Genomic DNA, 16,972 nt, shown 5'->3' on the forward strand with positions numbered 1-16,972 from the left:
AAAAAAGAATTAATTTAATACTGATGAGATCCAATTTAGTAGGTCAAAACAAAATTTGTTATTTCTTTTTTTATAATAAGACAGTGGATGCAGGAGAGATTGTGATCTAGTTAAGGCAAATTGGGACAAATTAACAATTATGATTAAAGTAGCATGTAGTTGAGGCCTTGGCCTAAGTGATATTAGAAAATAGAGCTTTGGCAAGTAAAGGATAAGTTAGTTACCTTATAGGTAACTTTGCACTGAATGATGGCAGAGGATAATTACAAAATGATGCCCAAATATTGTTCAATATGAGGCCTAGGACATAGGACATCATCTTAATGTGATCTGTAATCAGAGTCTGTGAGACAAATCACAATTACATATCAAAAATAGTAATTACTAATTAGAGCATTTATTTATTGTGTTAATGTGCCGGGCATTTAGTAAAGTGTTTTATTAATATCATGTAATGTCCACATGCATGCACACACTGTAAGTTATATGTACTACAAGTTGAGCATCTTTAATCTGAGATTCTTGGGACCAGAAGTATTTTGGATTTTGGTTTTTTTGGATTTTGGGATATTTGCATATATATGTGAAATGTCTTTGGTATGCGACTCAAGTATAAACATAAAATTTATGATTCATGTATGCTTTATATACATAGCTTGAAAGTAATTTTATACAATACTTAAAATAATTTTGTGCATGAAAATAGATTTATGTACATTGAAGCATCAGAAAGCAAAGGTATCATTATCTTATCCATCCACGTGGACAATCTGTGTTTGTTTGCCATCACCACCATTCCTGACTTCAAATTTATATGCTACCAATAAGTAATTATTTTCTTAAACTTATTTATACGTAAGTACTGAACAATAAATAATGTGACATACCGTAAATATGGTGAAAAAATAATTTGATCGGAGTAACTAAGCAGCATGTAGCGTCACCAGAATACCTGTATCAGTTATCAAACAATAGTGACAACAAACAATGGCAGGATTTTAGTCTTCATCTATGATGCTGCGTTTTGATTAAAAGGTTACTATAGGCCAGGTGTGGTGGTTCACACCTGTAATCCCAGCACTTTGGGAGGCCAAGGTTGAAGGATCACTTGAGCTCAGGAGTTTGGGACCAGCCTGGGTAACAGAGAGACCTCCTTTCTACAAAAGTAATTTTTAAAAAATTGGCCAGGCATATTGTCGCACACCTGTAGTCACAGCTGTCTGGGAAGCAGAAGCAGGAGGATCACTTGAGCCTGCAATATTGAGGCTAACAAGTGAGCCATGCTCGTGCCACTGCACTCAAGCCTGGGCAACAGTGAGACTCTGTCTCAAACAAACAAACAAACAAACAAACAAACAAAAGGTTACTGTGTACAATAATCCCCTTGGGGATGCCGAGTAAACTACGTATTGTACCCCTACCTTTTGAATGTAACCCATCACATGAGGTCAGATATGGAATTTTCCATTTGTGATATCATGTTGGTCCTCAAAACGTCTTAGATTTTGGAGCATTTTGGATTTCAGGTTTTTGAATTAGAGATACCCAACCTGTAGTATTATTACAAATGAAAAAAAAAAATGCAAGCTGAGAAGAGATAACGAATTTCTCTAAGAATCAAAAACTGTAAATAGTAGAGTTGGAAAAAAAATGAGGTTTGAGTCCAAAGCCAATTTCCTTTATATTCATTAAACTACCTCTTAATTCTTCCTCTAAAATTGGAAATGGATACAACCATTATGACTGAGAGAATCTAGCTATTCAAACTTCCTCAGAACATGTCTTAATATAGCTGAGCAGGCAAGTGTAGCCAGTTTCATGGGCCTAAGGAAAATAGATAAAATACATTTCTCAGTTTATATCATATTCAGAGATCTTTTGGGGCTCTAAAAGACAAAGGAAACAAGAGACGTTTTAAGAATTGATGTGAAAAAGAAGATAGATTTTATGCTGTGATGAGAAAAGATGAGAGGCGCAATGTAAAGTAATGGGATAAACAAGAGATACAGAAAGAAAACAGCAGGAGGAAGACAGCTCTTGCAGAGTAAGTGAGATAGAATTTGTTTATTTTGAGCACAGAGATTTTCACGAAGTCTAAATATGAGAAAAGAAAAGGGGAATGTGGAAGAAACACCTTGAAACAAACAAAAGCAGAGTAACTCAAAAGCAAATGAGGTGGAAGTCAGCTACAGATGGAAGTCAAGTATTTGATGTAAGATAAGAACCATAACTTAGAAATCAGGTAACAGAAAATAGCCACATTTGGAGAGCTGAAGGTGAAAAAGAAAAATGTAAATAAAATACTACAGAAAGTAATGCTGTTATGGGTCAAGCAGTTCTTGAAGTAGGGGAACATGAAACCCAAACAGAATAACTGGAAAGAAGACACGGAAATGTAATTTATGGTTCTCTAAGGAAAGAAAAATCAAAATGTCAGTACAAGGAAAATTCATATGAAAAAGAAAACATTCTGAAAGAACCAACTAGATTTGGAGCTCTTTACGATTACTAAAAAAGAAACACAAGCATACCAAAGGAAAAAATGGTATTTTAACAATAATTTGTTCAATTAAGTTGACCCCGCAATGTGAATCTAATAGAATGGGTATGCTCATAACATGCACGGTTAGTATACTTTCTCAATCTGTATCTTTCCTCTAGTAAATGTTAAAGTGAAAAATTTTAAGAGTAGGTAATTTTTGTACAACCTTTTAAGACATATGAGTTGGGAGGTTATTTAAAATGCAAGTTAAAAAAAGATGACAGGACTAAAATGGCCTACAGGGGAAAATATTTGAAATCAAATTTATTAAATAAGTTAATAGTTTATGTGCTTGTCAATTGATTTATTTGAATTTCAAAAGCAATCTTTATTCATTCTTCAACTTTTAAAAAATACTTCCCACAGCAGCAATACAAAGCTGCAGGTGTGACATGGTATTCCACAAACCATCATAATACATGCAAGTCAACCTATGTATCCCTGCATTCTACCTCCATAGCTTGAGAATGCCCTCCCTGGATCATCATTTTGGAGAACTTTTTCCTAGATCAAGTTTCAGAACAGCCATTCATCAATTGCCATCCATTATAAGACCAATTTGCTGCATGATCAATTTGACAAATTAACTCCCCCAAAACATGTATCTACTAACTAGTTATGAAGTTCATAGCAATTCCTATTCTGCCAAGGCCACTTATTTTTTAGTGTCAGTTGAAATATTTCACTTTTTTAAGAAACCTTGAATTTTAGGTATGGAATACAGTATTTACGTCAAAGAATAGTAACGCTAAACAGAGTGAGTATCTTACAAAACATTTTGAATTAAGTTTATTGAATTTTATAATTTGTGAATGTAGATATCTTGACTGGGGAACTGTACGTCTGCATATTATATTCAGATAGTCATGAGAACTTAAACTCATTTATATGTTATATAAACAGAATTAAAACAATTGACGACAAAAAATAGTTTACAACCCTCAGACACACAGGCTTTCTGTGACATAGGAATTTATATTGTATATGTACTGTTATTTCTACTAGAACTGTCCGCTTTATATGTATTTGCCAAAAAAAGAACAAGTGAGCTACATCAGCTAGCAGCTATTTTAGCTGACTACAGAGAGGAAAGAAAAAGGACTGTACATTTCAAATTCTTAAGTACTCCTCAAATGCCTAGTGTTTTATGTACAGATAGGGTAGATTTTTCCCTTAATTACATTGCAGACTGACATATATGTGTGAAAATAAACACCCAGGTGTAACTTCCACTTGGTGGTCTAAAAAACAAGTTGGTCTCTATGCACATCTTTATCAACGTGTACACAGTCAAGTGTGCAAAAATGAGGCATGGGTTTACTTCCTGATTCAGTGGTAAATAACACCTGCTACTATTATAAACTAGATTCATTAGCTAATATGTTTAGGCTCTATTTAGTGGAAAATACGAACAATTACTATAGAAAATTGAATGTAAATGTTAAAAACCTTGAAAATGTAAAAATATCTATCAAAATTTTAGAGGAAGGACCAGAAATAAAAGAAAGAATAAGCACATATTTTTTTCCATTTTTCATAGCTTTGTAGACTTACTTAATGCTTTCTATAATTATTTTTTAAATCATAAAGATAAGTACTCACAAAACCAAAAATTAAAATGTAGTAAGTCCAGAATTTGTGGGAGAGTAAATGTGCCCTAAATTAAATTCTCCAAGTTCATACTATGAAGTAGAATATGTCTACAAGATGTAAGTAGAGAAACAGAAATTTAAGGGTTGTTTTTAAGATAATCTTTAGAATAATCTGAAAGATTTATTCTAACTAGAAGATGTAGAGGGCATAAAAGATGAAAAATATAGTGTAAATAGATTAATTGACTCAATATATATTTCTAGTCGCTACCTAAGGTTGATAAATCAAGCAAAACAGGTTTAAAACTTTTTGTAGTTAAAAATTGGTAATTAAGAGCTCCAGCTTCTTTATTTATAAAAAAAAAAATTTAGGATGTACTGGAGAGAGTGCTGCTCCCATTCTCTTAACTAGAAAAGTCATGGGAAATTATAAAAACCATATATTTTCTTGAACCTATGAGATAGCTGAGGTTACAGGGCAACCAGCTAGGCTGAACTCTAAAGAAAAGCAGAAACTGCCAAGGAGAAATGTGGAAACATGCACTAAGTTACCTAGGACAGAGCAAGAGACAAATACATGACTTTCATAAAAGTGGATACAATTTTAGCGCAATTTATTCACAAATTTCTGCAAGTTTGATGTCAGCTACCACCAATAGTAAAGAACCTGTCTAGGAGCTGCAGACACTCACATACAACTCAGATATTTGGACTATAAGCCAGAGAATAGAAAATTACTATGATTAATGTGTTAAAAGCTCTACTATAAAAGGAAGACAACATGTATGAACCAATGGAGAATTTCAGCAGAAATATAGGACCTATAAAAAAAAATCAAATGGAGGCTGGAAGTGGTGGCTCACGCTTGTAATCCCAGTACTTTGGGAGGCCAAGGTGGGCAGATCACGAGGTCAGGAGATCGAGACTATCCCGGCTAACACAGTGAAACCCCATCTCACCTAAAAATACAAAAAATTAACCGGGCGTGGTGGCGGGCGCCTGTAGTCCCAGCTGCTCGGGATGCTGAGGCAGGAGAATGGCGTGAACCCGTAAGGCGGAACTTGCAGTGAGAAGAGATCGTGCCACTGCACTCCAGCCTGGGTGACAGCGAGACTCCATCTCAAAAAAAAAAAAAAGAAAAGAAAAAAGAAAAGAAATCAAATGGAAATGCAAAAAAGAGAGAGGGACAGAGAGGACATGTTTTAATAGGCTCATTAATAGACTCAATACAGTTAAAAAAAGAGTAAGTGAAGTTTAAGATAGATTAACAGAAATTACTCAAACTTAAACACAAAGAAAAAATGAGTTAAATAAAGAACTCAATCTTCAAGACATATGGGACAATATCAAATGAGCTCCCATAAGAAGAAAAGAGAGAATGAGGCAGAATAAATGTTTACGGAGAAAACAGATGAAAATTGTCCAAAATAACAAAATAGTATCAAAATTTTTGTCCAAAAATAACAAAAAAAGTATCAAACCACAGATCTAAGAAGCTGAGAGAGCTTTAAGGTCAATAAATACTTGTCCCCCCAAAAATGCACCTAAACACATCCTATGCAAACACCTGGAAACCAAATGTAAAGAAGGATACCATGGAAAAATTGATAAAACTCTAGCTAAGACAACCAAGAAAAAGGAGAAACAACACTAATTACCAACCTCAGTCACGAAAGAGGGGACATAAACACAAATCTAATTTTATTTAATAAGGGGATTTTATGAAATTTAATAAGGAATATTACTAAAAAGTTATGCTGATAAATGTGACAACACAGATTAAATGAACTATATATAGGTATATGTGTATGACCTCAATAATTCCATACATTTAAAGATATCAAATTTATAGTTGAAAATTGTCAAACAACAACATCAATACTCTAGGCCCGTATGACTTACTTCGCAAAGTCTAACAAACATTTAAAGATGAAATGAAACCAATTTTATACAAACTCTTTCGGAAAATTAAAGAAGGAACACATCCCAACTCCTGTAATAAGAGAAAAATTATAATGTCAAAACAAAACAGAAAAAAAAGAGACCACCAGAAAAAAAACCTGCAGTCCAAAATACATATTCAGCAAACACGCAGAAGTCCTCAGTAAAATATTGGCATATCTAATTCAGCTGCATATTAAAAAACGTAAAATATATCATGGTCAAATGGAGTTAATTTCAGGAATGCAGCACTGCTGTGACATTCTAAACCCAGTCAATGTATTTTCCCCATTTGAAAAGATAAAAGTACAATCATATATTTATATTGAAAGATGCAGAGAAAATATTAGTCTTCAGTTATGTGTGTTTCATTGTTCAACCTGGCCACATTATAATGATAAGCTAAAAAATGATGTCCAAGAAATATATATACACACACACATGCAAACAATAATACTAATAGATTAAATGTATGTATATATTTGCATATACACAGAAAATGTCTTATGTAATAGTGGCCACAGCTACTTCTTGGGGTCATGATCACATTTGGGAAGTTACAGGAAAAAATCAGGAATTGTATACTTTTTAAAAATACCTCTCTGCAGTTTGAATTTTTTTTTGTTAAAGCAGATTTATTATCTATATAATTAGTTTTAATATGAAAACAATAATTATGACTGCTTTTTAAGTGATATATTCTAAATGAAGCAGTGTATTAATTAGGGGGAAAAGGGGAAATTTTCTAAATAAATATCTTGGAATTGGCCAAAACATGCTGCCAGCCAATTTTTTTTTCCCACTATTACAGGTGCATTAATTGGGACGTGGAATAGATGATTAACTCCCTCTTGTGAGTGCTTTACCCTGTGAAGACAGTTATGGCTGAGAATTATAGCACCTTGTGGTATAGGTGAGGATGAAGCTGGCATATTAATCAGTCACTTTCTTTTTCAAGGAAAATTTTTCTTCCTTATTTATTTATACACAACTGCATCTCATTTTTCCATAGTAGATGGTTTTCAAAAAATGTGTAAATGTGATATTTTGTAAACAGAGTGACACTGTTAATAACCTGGTATGAGAACTTTACAAAGAACTGAGGGATCCATAAGGTTGAAGAAGACATCTGAGGGAACAGCTTTTTCATAAGAGGCCAACAACTCTTTCAGGTACTTCAGAGGTGAGAATCTGGGTGGGAGGTGGTCAAAGGAATGACCAGGTAGATTCAACTGTGACATCTCATCGCTCTCATTTTTCAAATTGCTTTTATTCTTTTATCTTTGGAGTTCTCTGTAAAATTGTATTTACTGAACGTGTTGCACATCATTAAAACATTTATAAAAACTTATCTCATCTACTAGATTCATTTTAAATTGAAAAATCAAGTCCTGCCTGCTGCCTTTATTTCATTACACTGTCTTTAATTTGTAACCTAACTTGTTTCTCATATCTTGCTTTTTCACAGAAATTATTGAAGAGATGATTAAGTTTATTTTTACATCACATTTATATTAAACATAGTTATACAATTACAGTTAATTTTAAAACTCTAAAAATACCACTTACATTACAGTTTTTATCATGTATTTCTAATTTTAAAAGGAATAGATATTCATGTTAATAATAAAAATTCAAAATATAAAAAATAACATGGTATAAAATGTAATTATCTTTCTTTCTTACTAAAGTTCCTTGACCCCTTTCCAAGATGCAATTACTTTTAACACATTTGTGAAGATATCTCTAGAAATTTTATATACAAATCCAAGTTTGTGTATGTATACAAGTATAGATATTAATGAATAGAAATAGCTTTTTACAAGCCTAAACGTCTGTGTTCAACTTTCTTTACCTGGCCTTTTTATTTTATTTTATTGAAAACAAAATAGAGATGGGGTTTCGTTATGTTACCCAGGCTGATCTTGAACCCTTGAGCTCAAGTAATATTACTGCTTTGGCCTCCCAGAGTGCCTGGATTACAAGCATGAACCACCATGCCAGGCCTGCCCTTGCCATTTTCTAATCATACACATTAGAAGTTGTTTTATAACTGATATTTATGGTTAAAATAAAGAGATGTGTAAAATATAATTTCAAATCACACTATTTATTACCATACAGTTTGTCTTTTCTTTTGGTTCACAATGCTTAAATGGGGAGGATAACGAAAACAAATCTCATGGGGAATATACACTATAGACGAAGTACATCAACTACATAGTGAGTTCTGAAATTATTAAAGTCCAGTTGCTCACTTAGGATGGAAGCAGGCCTCTGTAGAAAGTATAGTCTAATTAAAGTTTGAGTTGTGCCTTATATCAGGGGTTCTCAGGAGAGACCATCTGACCCGACACAGCTGAGGTTCCTAGATGCTAGTGGGTGGTTCTGGTGTTGCTGGGCAAAGCTTTGGGGGTTAGCTCAAAGGCAAATAAGGTATGGCCCTGACAGCATGAGCTCTCCTTAGAGAGGCGACTAACAGTGCAGCCCTTCTAGGGCCAAAGCTCTCAAACTGTCTGTGAAACTTTTAGGATTATATGTGTTTTGGATTCCAGTAGTTGAGGTCAATACTCAGATATGGGGCCTGATAAGTTGTGGCCTAACATTCTTGAGGGGAGAGGGCTTATCACAGCAAAACATGTCACTCATGTAGCAAATCGTGTAAGTGCTTGGAATCATTTTAAAGCTACAAAACAATAACACTACATGAATTTCTCAAAGTGCTGTGGAATATATCATTGTTAGATGCACCAGAATTTGATCATAATTTAAGCTGATCAAATAATGTTTTTTAAATTTAGTTGGCCAAATGAAAGTCATTTAATAAACATAGCTGGCGAAGTGGAGGTCATATTGGTTAGTTTTAGTAATTTCCTATTACAAAATATATTATCAATTTAAGATATCAGTTGCTCCAGTAATCCTGAATAATAAACCACCTGAAAACCAAAGGCTTAAAACAATGATCATTTAATATTGCTCATGAAAATACAGTTTAGGTAGGTCATTATCATGGTCTTGGCTAAACTGATCTGTCTGCCATAAATCGCAAATTGAGGAGACTCCTTATTTGATCTTGTCTGAACTCAGACATGTTTCTGCATGTTTGAGGGTTGAATACATTTTGTCTAACCTAAAATGGCCCTTGACTGAAACAGCTAAGATGACTGAAAATAAGGAAGCCCCAGCTCTCCTCCATATCTCTCACAGCGTTTTATGTATTACTCAGTTTTAATTTAATGAGAGAAATGTCTTGGGAATGTTTCTGAGGATACTAATTATAATTTGTTTTTATGTTTATAGCTATATTATCTTTTCCCCTAGAGTCAGTCTCTTTGGTCATCTTGGGCCTTCTCTTATGTGCTAATGGTTTTTACTCAAGAGAATTGTGTTCCTGCTTGTCCAGTTGTGTTTATGAATGAAAGATTACATTAGAATAGGTTACTGGCAAAAGATATTAGCACAGGTTACAGGAACGCTTTCCAAACAATCTCTCTTTTGAATAAGAGTGTGAACCATCTCTTTATAAATGGAGCTGACATTTCAACAGGTAAAGCTCACTAGAAGAAATCTGGGAAAGAAGCAGGGAGTGTGAGTGTGGACTCCAACTGCCAAATAAATGGGATTTTACTCTGGAAATGTGAAGTAATTTCATTTATTTTACTTATCTGCCTATTTGTCCCTGCCCCTTACTCCACCATCTCACTATATATTTTTTTCTTTTTTTCTGTTTAAGGGATTCAGCTGACACTTCAATCTGTTTGCTACTCTATCAGGGTAAACGCCCTATCTAATTTCTTCTGAATTTATATCTATCAATTAATTTAAGCAAAGTTCTTGAGATTTGTGCTGTGGGCAAGAGTTGCTGTTCTATTTATAGAGAGTAAAGTGAAAGTGTCCTAACAGTCAAGTTATTTCAATACAGTTTCTAAATAAATTAATCTGATGCTTCCTGTCCCAACCATTCTCCATCCTGCACTGTTGATTCTTGACTTCTTTTGCTGAAGTTTCCTTGAGTAGAGCCTCGCTTAGGTCTAGTGACTTGAGTCATGATATCCTTTGCTCTGATTTCTGCCCCATTCACATTGTATGTTCTATCAACATTCCTAAAAATACTCAGGACTTCCCAGGGGAACCTCTCACGTATACAAACATTGCTGTTGTTGAAATAATTTTATAATTATTAAATAACAACATTTATATGTAATTTCTGTAATGTCTTAAATAAAGTTGAAGAGAGATATTCTGGTTTCACCATCAAGAACTAGAAGTATTAATCAAATATGCAATGAAATGATTTTAAAAGAAAGTTTACTATTATAACAAAACTTACTGATTCAATGAAAAATACCTCAGGATGTGCATTATCATATGAAATACTTTGTCCTCAAAACCTATTTAATCAATGATCTGACTCTGAACAATAATTTTGTGTTGGTATATTTTCTGATGGCTTATCTACTTTCTATCCTCCTATTTGTCAACAGCAAATGAGATCTGCTATTGTCTATAATTTTCCATTAGAGAGCAAATAGATTGTAATTCTGCCAAACAACATTTTTAAGTAGAATTAGAAGCGTAAAATCTGATTTTAATTGTTTAAGATTTCTAAACTTGACAAAAATATGGCCTAATTATAGAACTAGATTTGTCAAATCTGTAGGATAGAAATATTTTCTTCTATCTTAATGCTTATATGTATAAGATATCCTTATATCTAAAAAATGTAACTTTCCTTAAGATGACTGCAAATCTGGAGTCAACTAACTCAGAGAATCAAGCACTTAACTGTTCATCATTCAGAGTCTGACAAAATTAAGTACTGTTACCAGTATCTTTGGAAATGACCATTAAGATATATCATGCCTCTCTCTAATAAACTTGTAACAGATACAAAATTGCTTATGGGAATTCTTTCCAGAATACCATCTCTAAACTGGACAGCTGGTAAGAAAACTGGTCTATGTCATCTCAGAATAGATCATTTATTTTTTACCCTTCTCAAGAGATTACCCCTTTGGCAACCAAACAGTTATTGCCATCTGCAGCAGGTAAACAACATAAATATCATGTTAAATTCTGATGAATTTCAGTGGTCAAAATAAATATTTGCAGTTTTTTGGTGAAAATTGTACATATATTTACAAATTGACCCCCTCCCCATGATCTCTTTCCCCCTCTCTTTTTCAAGTATGTTACCACTTTCCTTCTCAGAGATGTCTAAGTTAGTGTCAGGAATTAGCCATTTAATGTAATCATAAATCACCCCAAGAGATATTAAATAACCATATTTCAAACTGAGATCTGTGGTTTAAGTTTCATTATTATAGTATTCCAATTTAGTCAGCATCCAAAAGATACAATCTTATATCAAATTTCATGAATTTCCCCTCTGTTTTCCTTTTCTCTCCCTTTGCTCAGCAATAAAGCCCATGTAATCATTGTATACTACGCATATGGGTTAGCAATGACTCAAAATTACCATACGTGTTTTAAGTAATAAGACAATTTTGGATTTTCTACTTTCTAAGACCACCTATACTTTAATACTTCATTCAGGGTTTTTCATGACTGTAGTCATGATTAGAAAAATGCCTAGAACCTTGAATAATTGCTTATAGAACAGCCTCTTCCTCATCAATAAAATATGTGTGGGAGGCTTTACATGAGACAGAAATAAACGTATTTTGTTACCTCACTGAGATTTCAGAGTTTATCAGTTGCAAAAACTAGTGTTATTCTCTCTAAAACAGATATAGGTATCGGAAGTGGTAGAAGAAACTTAAAATGTATTTTACTGTTTTCCTAATTAAGAAATGGGTGATGATGAATTTCCTGATAAAGACTAAACAGATGGGCAACTAATATATTTGGAAAAACATTTGGAGATGTATGACCTATGATAATTTGGAAGGTAGACCATATATCTTCTGAGGCTGATACTCAGAACTCCAGCGGTTGGGAAGAGTCAGTATAATGGTATACATTGGCTTCTGATTTTGATGAGTCATTACATGATTGATATGACCTCAAATTAGAATGGTTTTTATTTTGGTGGCCAAAATCAGTGGAAATAGATTTAAGAAAAATAAAACCTGTAAAAGAGAAGAATCAGAAAATCCAATTGGTTGTAGACCTTAAACAGTTAAGATATAAGACTAAGGGAGACCTTAACAGTCAAACCTATGAAGATTCAACTCAGCAATAAAAGTCAGTTTATTCATTATCTGTCACTGCATAACAAATTACTCTATGTAATGGTCTGAATTATTGTCCCCAAAGACATCAGGTCCTAATCTCTAGACTCTCTGAATGTTACCATATACAATAAAGCTTCTCTATATCTGATTAACTTAAGGGTTTTGAAATGAGATTTATCTTGGACTATCCATGCAATCGTTAAATTTCACTACAAATGTCTTTATAAAGAAAGGCAGAAACAAATTAGACACAGGGAAGACAAAGCAAAAATGGAGGCAGCAATTTGAGCAATGAATGCCAGAAGCCACCAGAAGCTAAAGGAAGCAAACAACAGATTCTCTCTAAAGTTTCCAGAGGAAGTGTGGCCCCAATAGTACCTTGACTTTGACCCCCCAGTGAAATTGATTTCAGGTTTCTAGACTCCAAAATAGTGAGAGAATAAATTTCTGTTGTTTTAAGCTACCAAGTTGTGGCAATTTGTTATCACAGACATAGGAAACAAATATACCTTAAGATTTGGCAACTAAAAACAGTAAATATCTACTTTCTCACCATTCCTTTGAATCAGGAATTCAACAGTGTCTCAACTATATTCTGGCGAAGGGTCTCTTACAAGTCCATGATCAAGGTGTCTGTGTTAAACTCAAAGTTCAACTGGGGAAGGATCTCTTTCCAGGCTCACTGACGCGGCTATTGGCAGGTCTCAGAAAATCAGCATCTAAGCTCACTCATGCAGTGCTTCATGGCAGCTGTCTTCCTCATAGTGAGCAATCAGAAAGACCACAAGAGATCACTAAGATGGAAGCCACGTTCTTTTTCTAACTACACCTCCAAAGCGAAATCTCTTTATAGATGTATTAGTTAGAAGTGAGTCAATAAGTCCATCTTACATTAAAGGAGACCAGATTGTACAGGGCGTGAATACCGGGAGGTAGGAATCGCTGGGGGCCATGTTTCGGGCTGACTACCACATAAGCATAGGTTTTATGTGAAAATACTTAGAAACACTGAATAAAATGTGTTTCATTTTAGCCCAGGAGTAGGTGGGAATAAGAGGACTGGGTGTTGCTGTGGGCCCAGATAACGGGTTGCATGTTAGAATCCAGTGTACAATTCTGAATATTCCAAAAAGGGTAAAACTATACAAACAAAAACAAGATTATTGCTTGCCAGAGGCTGAGGATAGGGATAATAGACAACTGACTACAAAGTGGCACTTTTGGGGTAATGAAATATTCTGTATCTTAGTTGTGGTTGTAGTTACCACAACTGTATACATTTATCTAAAGAAATCAAATTATACTCTAAAATGGGTCAATTCAGAGTACATAAATCATAAACAAAAAATACTACCTCAATGCAAACCGGATCAATATTCAAAGTACAAGTAAGTTGATTCATATGCAAAAATTTCTGGTGAAAGAAAGATGAAAATATTCCAAATTATTTTATAATGTTAGAATAACCTGAGCCTCAAAGCCAGAGAAAAAGACTAAACAAAATGATCAGAAAACTAGAGGTATATCTCTTTCATAAACATGGATACATAAGCTCTAAACAGAATATTAGCAAGACAAATACTTAAAAATATAAAAAGGGTAAGATACCTCTCAACAAATTAGAAATAGGAAGGAATTTCCTTTCGTTTACTTTAAAAGATTGTAGTTTCTATTGACTACCAGAGAGTGTTTTTGCAAACAGTAACCATGATGGATTTAAAAAGAAAACAAAACAAAACATTTTTTTTCCAAGCTCAGAATAATAGAGTACTACTACGAATGAATTCATTTAATTTGTCAGATCATTTTGGTTGCTTATCTGTCATCATTTATTTCTTGTTAATAAAGTCCAATTTTGTTCAGAGTGGCATTTGTGTCTTTCTACACATCACAAAGCAAAACCAGTTTGAGCTGTCAATACAATCCTGTATTCCTTTGCGAGATGTAGGACTTACCAGCTTCCCACTGCTACCAGTTATGGCCATATGTTCCTATTGTGTCAAATGGAACACAGGGCATGGACACTATTTGATTGAAGTTGCTTCTAGGAAAACTTACGAACAAAAAGAAGCATACCTTTTTCTTCTTGGCAAAAAGAAGGCAGCACCTTTCCTAGCTTGAATGTGAATGTAATGTCCAAAAGTGAAGCAGTCATCCTGCACTCATGATACAGAGAGTAACTGGCTGAGGATGATATACAGAATAATGACAACAGCCTAGTTACTTGAAGGCATTGTTAAGCTACCATACAGTACTCAGCTGTCTCTAGACTTCTTATCATGAGGCATTAGTAATGCCTTTATTGCTTTAAGCATGTTTAAGTAGAAAATTTTGCATTGCAAGCTGAAAGTGCTCTGATAGAACTACTAATCATACCAAGTTATCTTCTAATTAAATTATCCTATTTCCAACTAATGAGAAAGGAGACAGTGGTGGCTTGGTCCTTTTTCCTTGCAGTAAAAATTATTCAATTCAAAAATCTTATACTTGAAAATAATCTATTTTCTCAAAGAATATATGTTTTAGTCATGGATTCCCATGTAACACACTAATACTAAATTAAGTGGCTTAAAACAATGATTTATCATTTATCAATATGTCTTATTTTGTGAGTTAGCAGACTTATCTAGATATTATTTCTGTTGCACAGGGAGTTGGCTTAGGATATAAGCATGTATTTATTTAGCTGCTTTTTGCGGGGTGGGTGACTGGTACAGTACATTCAAGGTGTCTTCATTCACACTCATGGCACCTCTGCTGTGGTGTCTAAATGCCTGTGGGCTGGCTGGATTTTCTCCTATCTCATCACTCATTTATTTTGCCAGAGCTTCTTTACTTTGTGACTGGTTTTCAAAAGAATGAAAATGGAAGCTGCCAAGTTTTCTTAAGGGGTAAACCCCAGGACTCACACATCATCACTTCTGCCCCATTCTCTTTGTCAAAATAAGTCATAAGGCCAGCAGCAATTCAAGAAAGAGGAAATAATTTCCATATCTTGGGAGTGATGATGGAATTTTTGGTGGCCAACTTGTAACTGGATAACCCATAAAAAATGAATGCCATTAAGTCACTTGTAATAATAATTCCTCCTACCTTCATAATACTTTCTTTCATAACAATATATGTAATCTTATTGTAGTGTTTAAAGTAAAATTATTTTCCATTAAATGAAGAATTGCTAAAAACAAAGGGGGAAGATATGATTTAGATTCAAATATATATTACTTATTCTTTACAAATTCAAGATACATTTGACTTTATTTCAGAATGGAGATACAATATAAATTTTTTACATTGCTATTTTACAATGAAAATTTTTCTTTATTCAAATAGAAAACTTGTTTCTGAATTATTCAGAATATGAAGGTAATTGAAGAAAATTTCTCTATTACCCAAAAGAGTACTTGAAGAAGTACTACAAGTAACAAGAGAGAGTCCAATAATGTCAAGTATGCTTATATATGCATGATTGCATTATTAAATTACAATACATGTCTTTTACTTTGTCTTAAAGAACTATTTGTATTCTAGGGTTTGTAAAGGACATTTTGGGGTAACTTACTATTTTCTTTTTTAAAGGAAGTTCCTGGAAGCTCAACATGAGAGAATTATCTAAAGTACCATGACCTATCAATTCAATATCTTTTTAAGGGCATAACAAGTAGCTTTTATATTCTATAAAATTCATTTTATCCAGTCCAGGAAATCTTTATCATTCATTGTGTCAACTTGGTTAAAAGATGAATACTTTAAAAATCCAAATTGCTGAAAATTAATAACACTTAGATAATATTGTATTACATTTTATTTTTCGGCACTACATTCTACAAACCCTAAGTCTCTTCTACACTCAGGCATGTGCTAATATACATATATGCCATAAATACATGTGTGTATGTATACACGTGCACATGCACACACATATGATCCATACAAAGAAAATTAAAAAATAGACCAGACTTAGAGAATCACTGTCACTACATCCATCAGAGTACAGCTGAGCTGGTAATTAAACTGCCACACTCCCACAGACAGGCCTGCAGCTATGTAGCACACATCCCAAGAATATGACTGGATCTAGATTCATATTAAAAAACACAATTAAATAGGCTTACTTCAGACAGATTCAATCTCTCCACTCATAGAGTGCAAATTATGAAATTTTGGCCAAGAGGAGTAGCGAAATACCCAATCACTATCAAACAGTATGTACAAGGATAGAAGCTAAAAATGATATTGTGTATTTTAAAGCATTCATCCTTCAGATTACGAGTTAAAACTTTACAAAAATTGACTTATAGCATTGGAGTGTATAGCAGTAAACTATAATAAGATGTATAGTCTCATAATAATAATGTCTAGTCTCATAATAATAATGTCTACTGGTGCCTATTAATAATATTCTGGCTTTATTTTTGACCCAAGAAAAGTTAAGTCAGAATCAATCTCCTTGGCCATTCCTAGAAAAAGTTAAACTAAAATTCAAAATGACCGACAATATTACATAGCATATAGGCTGCTACTACGGATAAAAACTTCAATCCTTATAATCTCATTGAAGTCTATATAGTTCCCCAAAATAGCAGTTACATCAGAGCTATTAAAAGGTAGATTTGCATAGTTAATTATATGTACATAGAGCTTATTTACTTTTACAGATGTTGTTCTACCCTACATCATTCTTTTTTGTCAATAGG

General features: G+C 33.6%; 1 long non-coding RNA gene across 1 annotated transcript in view; it reads right to left on the minus strand.

The window, feature by feature from the left end:
* LOC107986108 (uncharacterized) overlaps positions 1-16,972 on the minus strand; it is a 279,502-nt gene that overhangs the window by 227,929 nt on the left and 34,601 nt on the right. The gene's annotated exons all lie outside the window — the stretch shown is intronic.

This window comes from Homo sapiens, chromosome 3 (genome assembly GCF_000001405.40).
Source record: "Homo sapiens chromosome 3, GRCh38.p14 Primary Assembly".
In the NCBI taxonomy this organism is placed as follows: domain Eukaryota; kingdom Metazoa; phylum Chordata; class Mammalia; order Primates; family Hominidae; genus Homo; species Homo sapiens.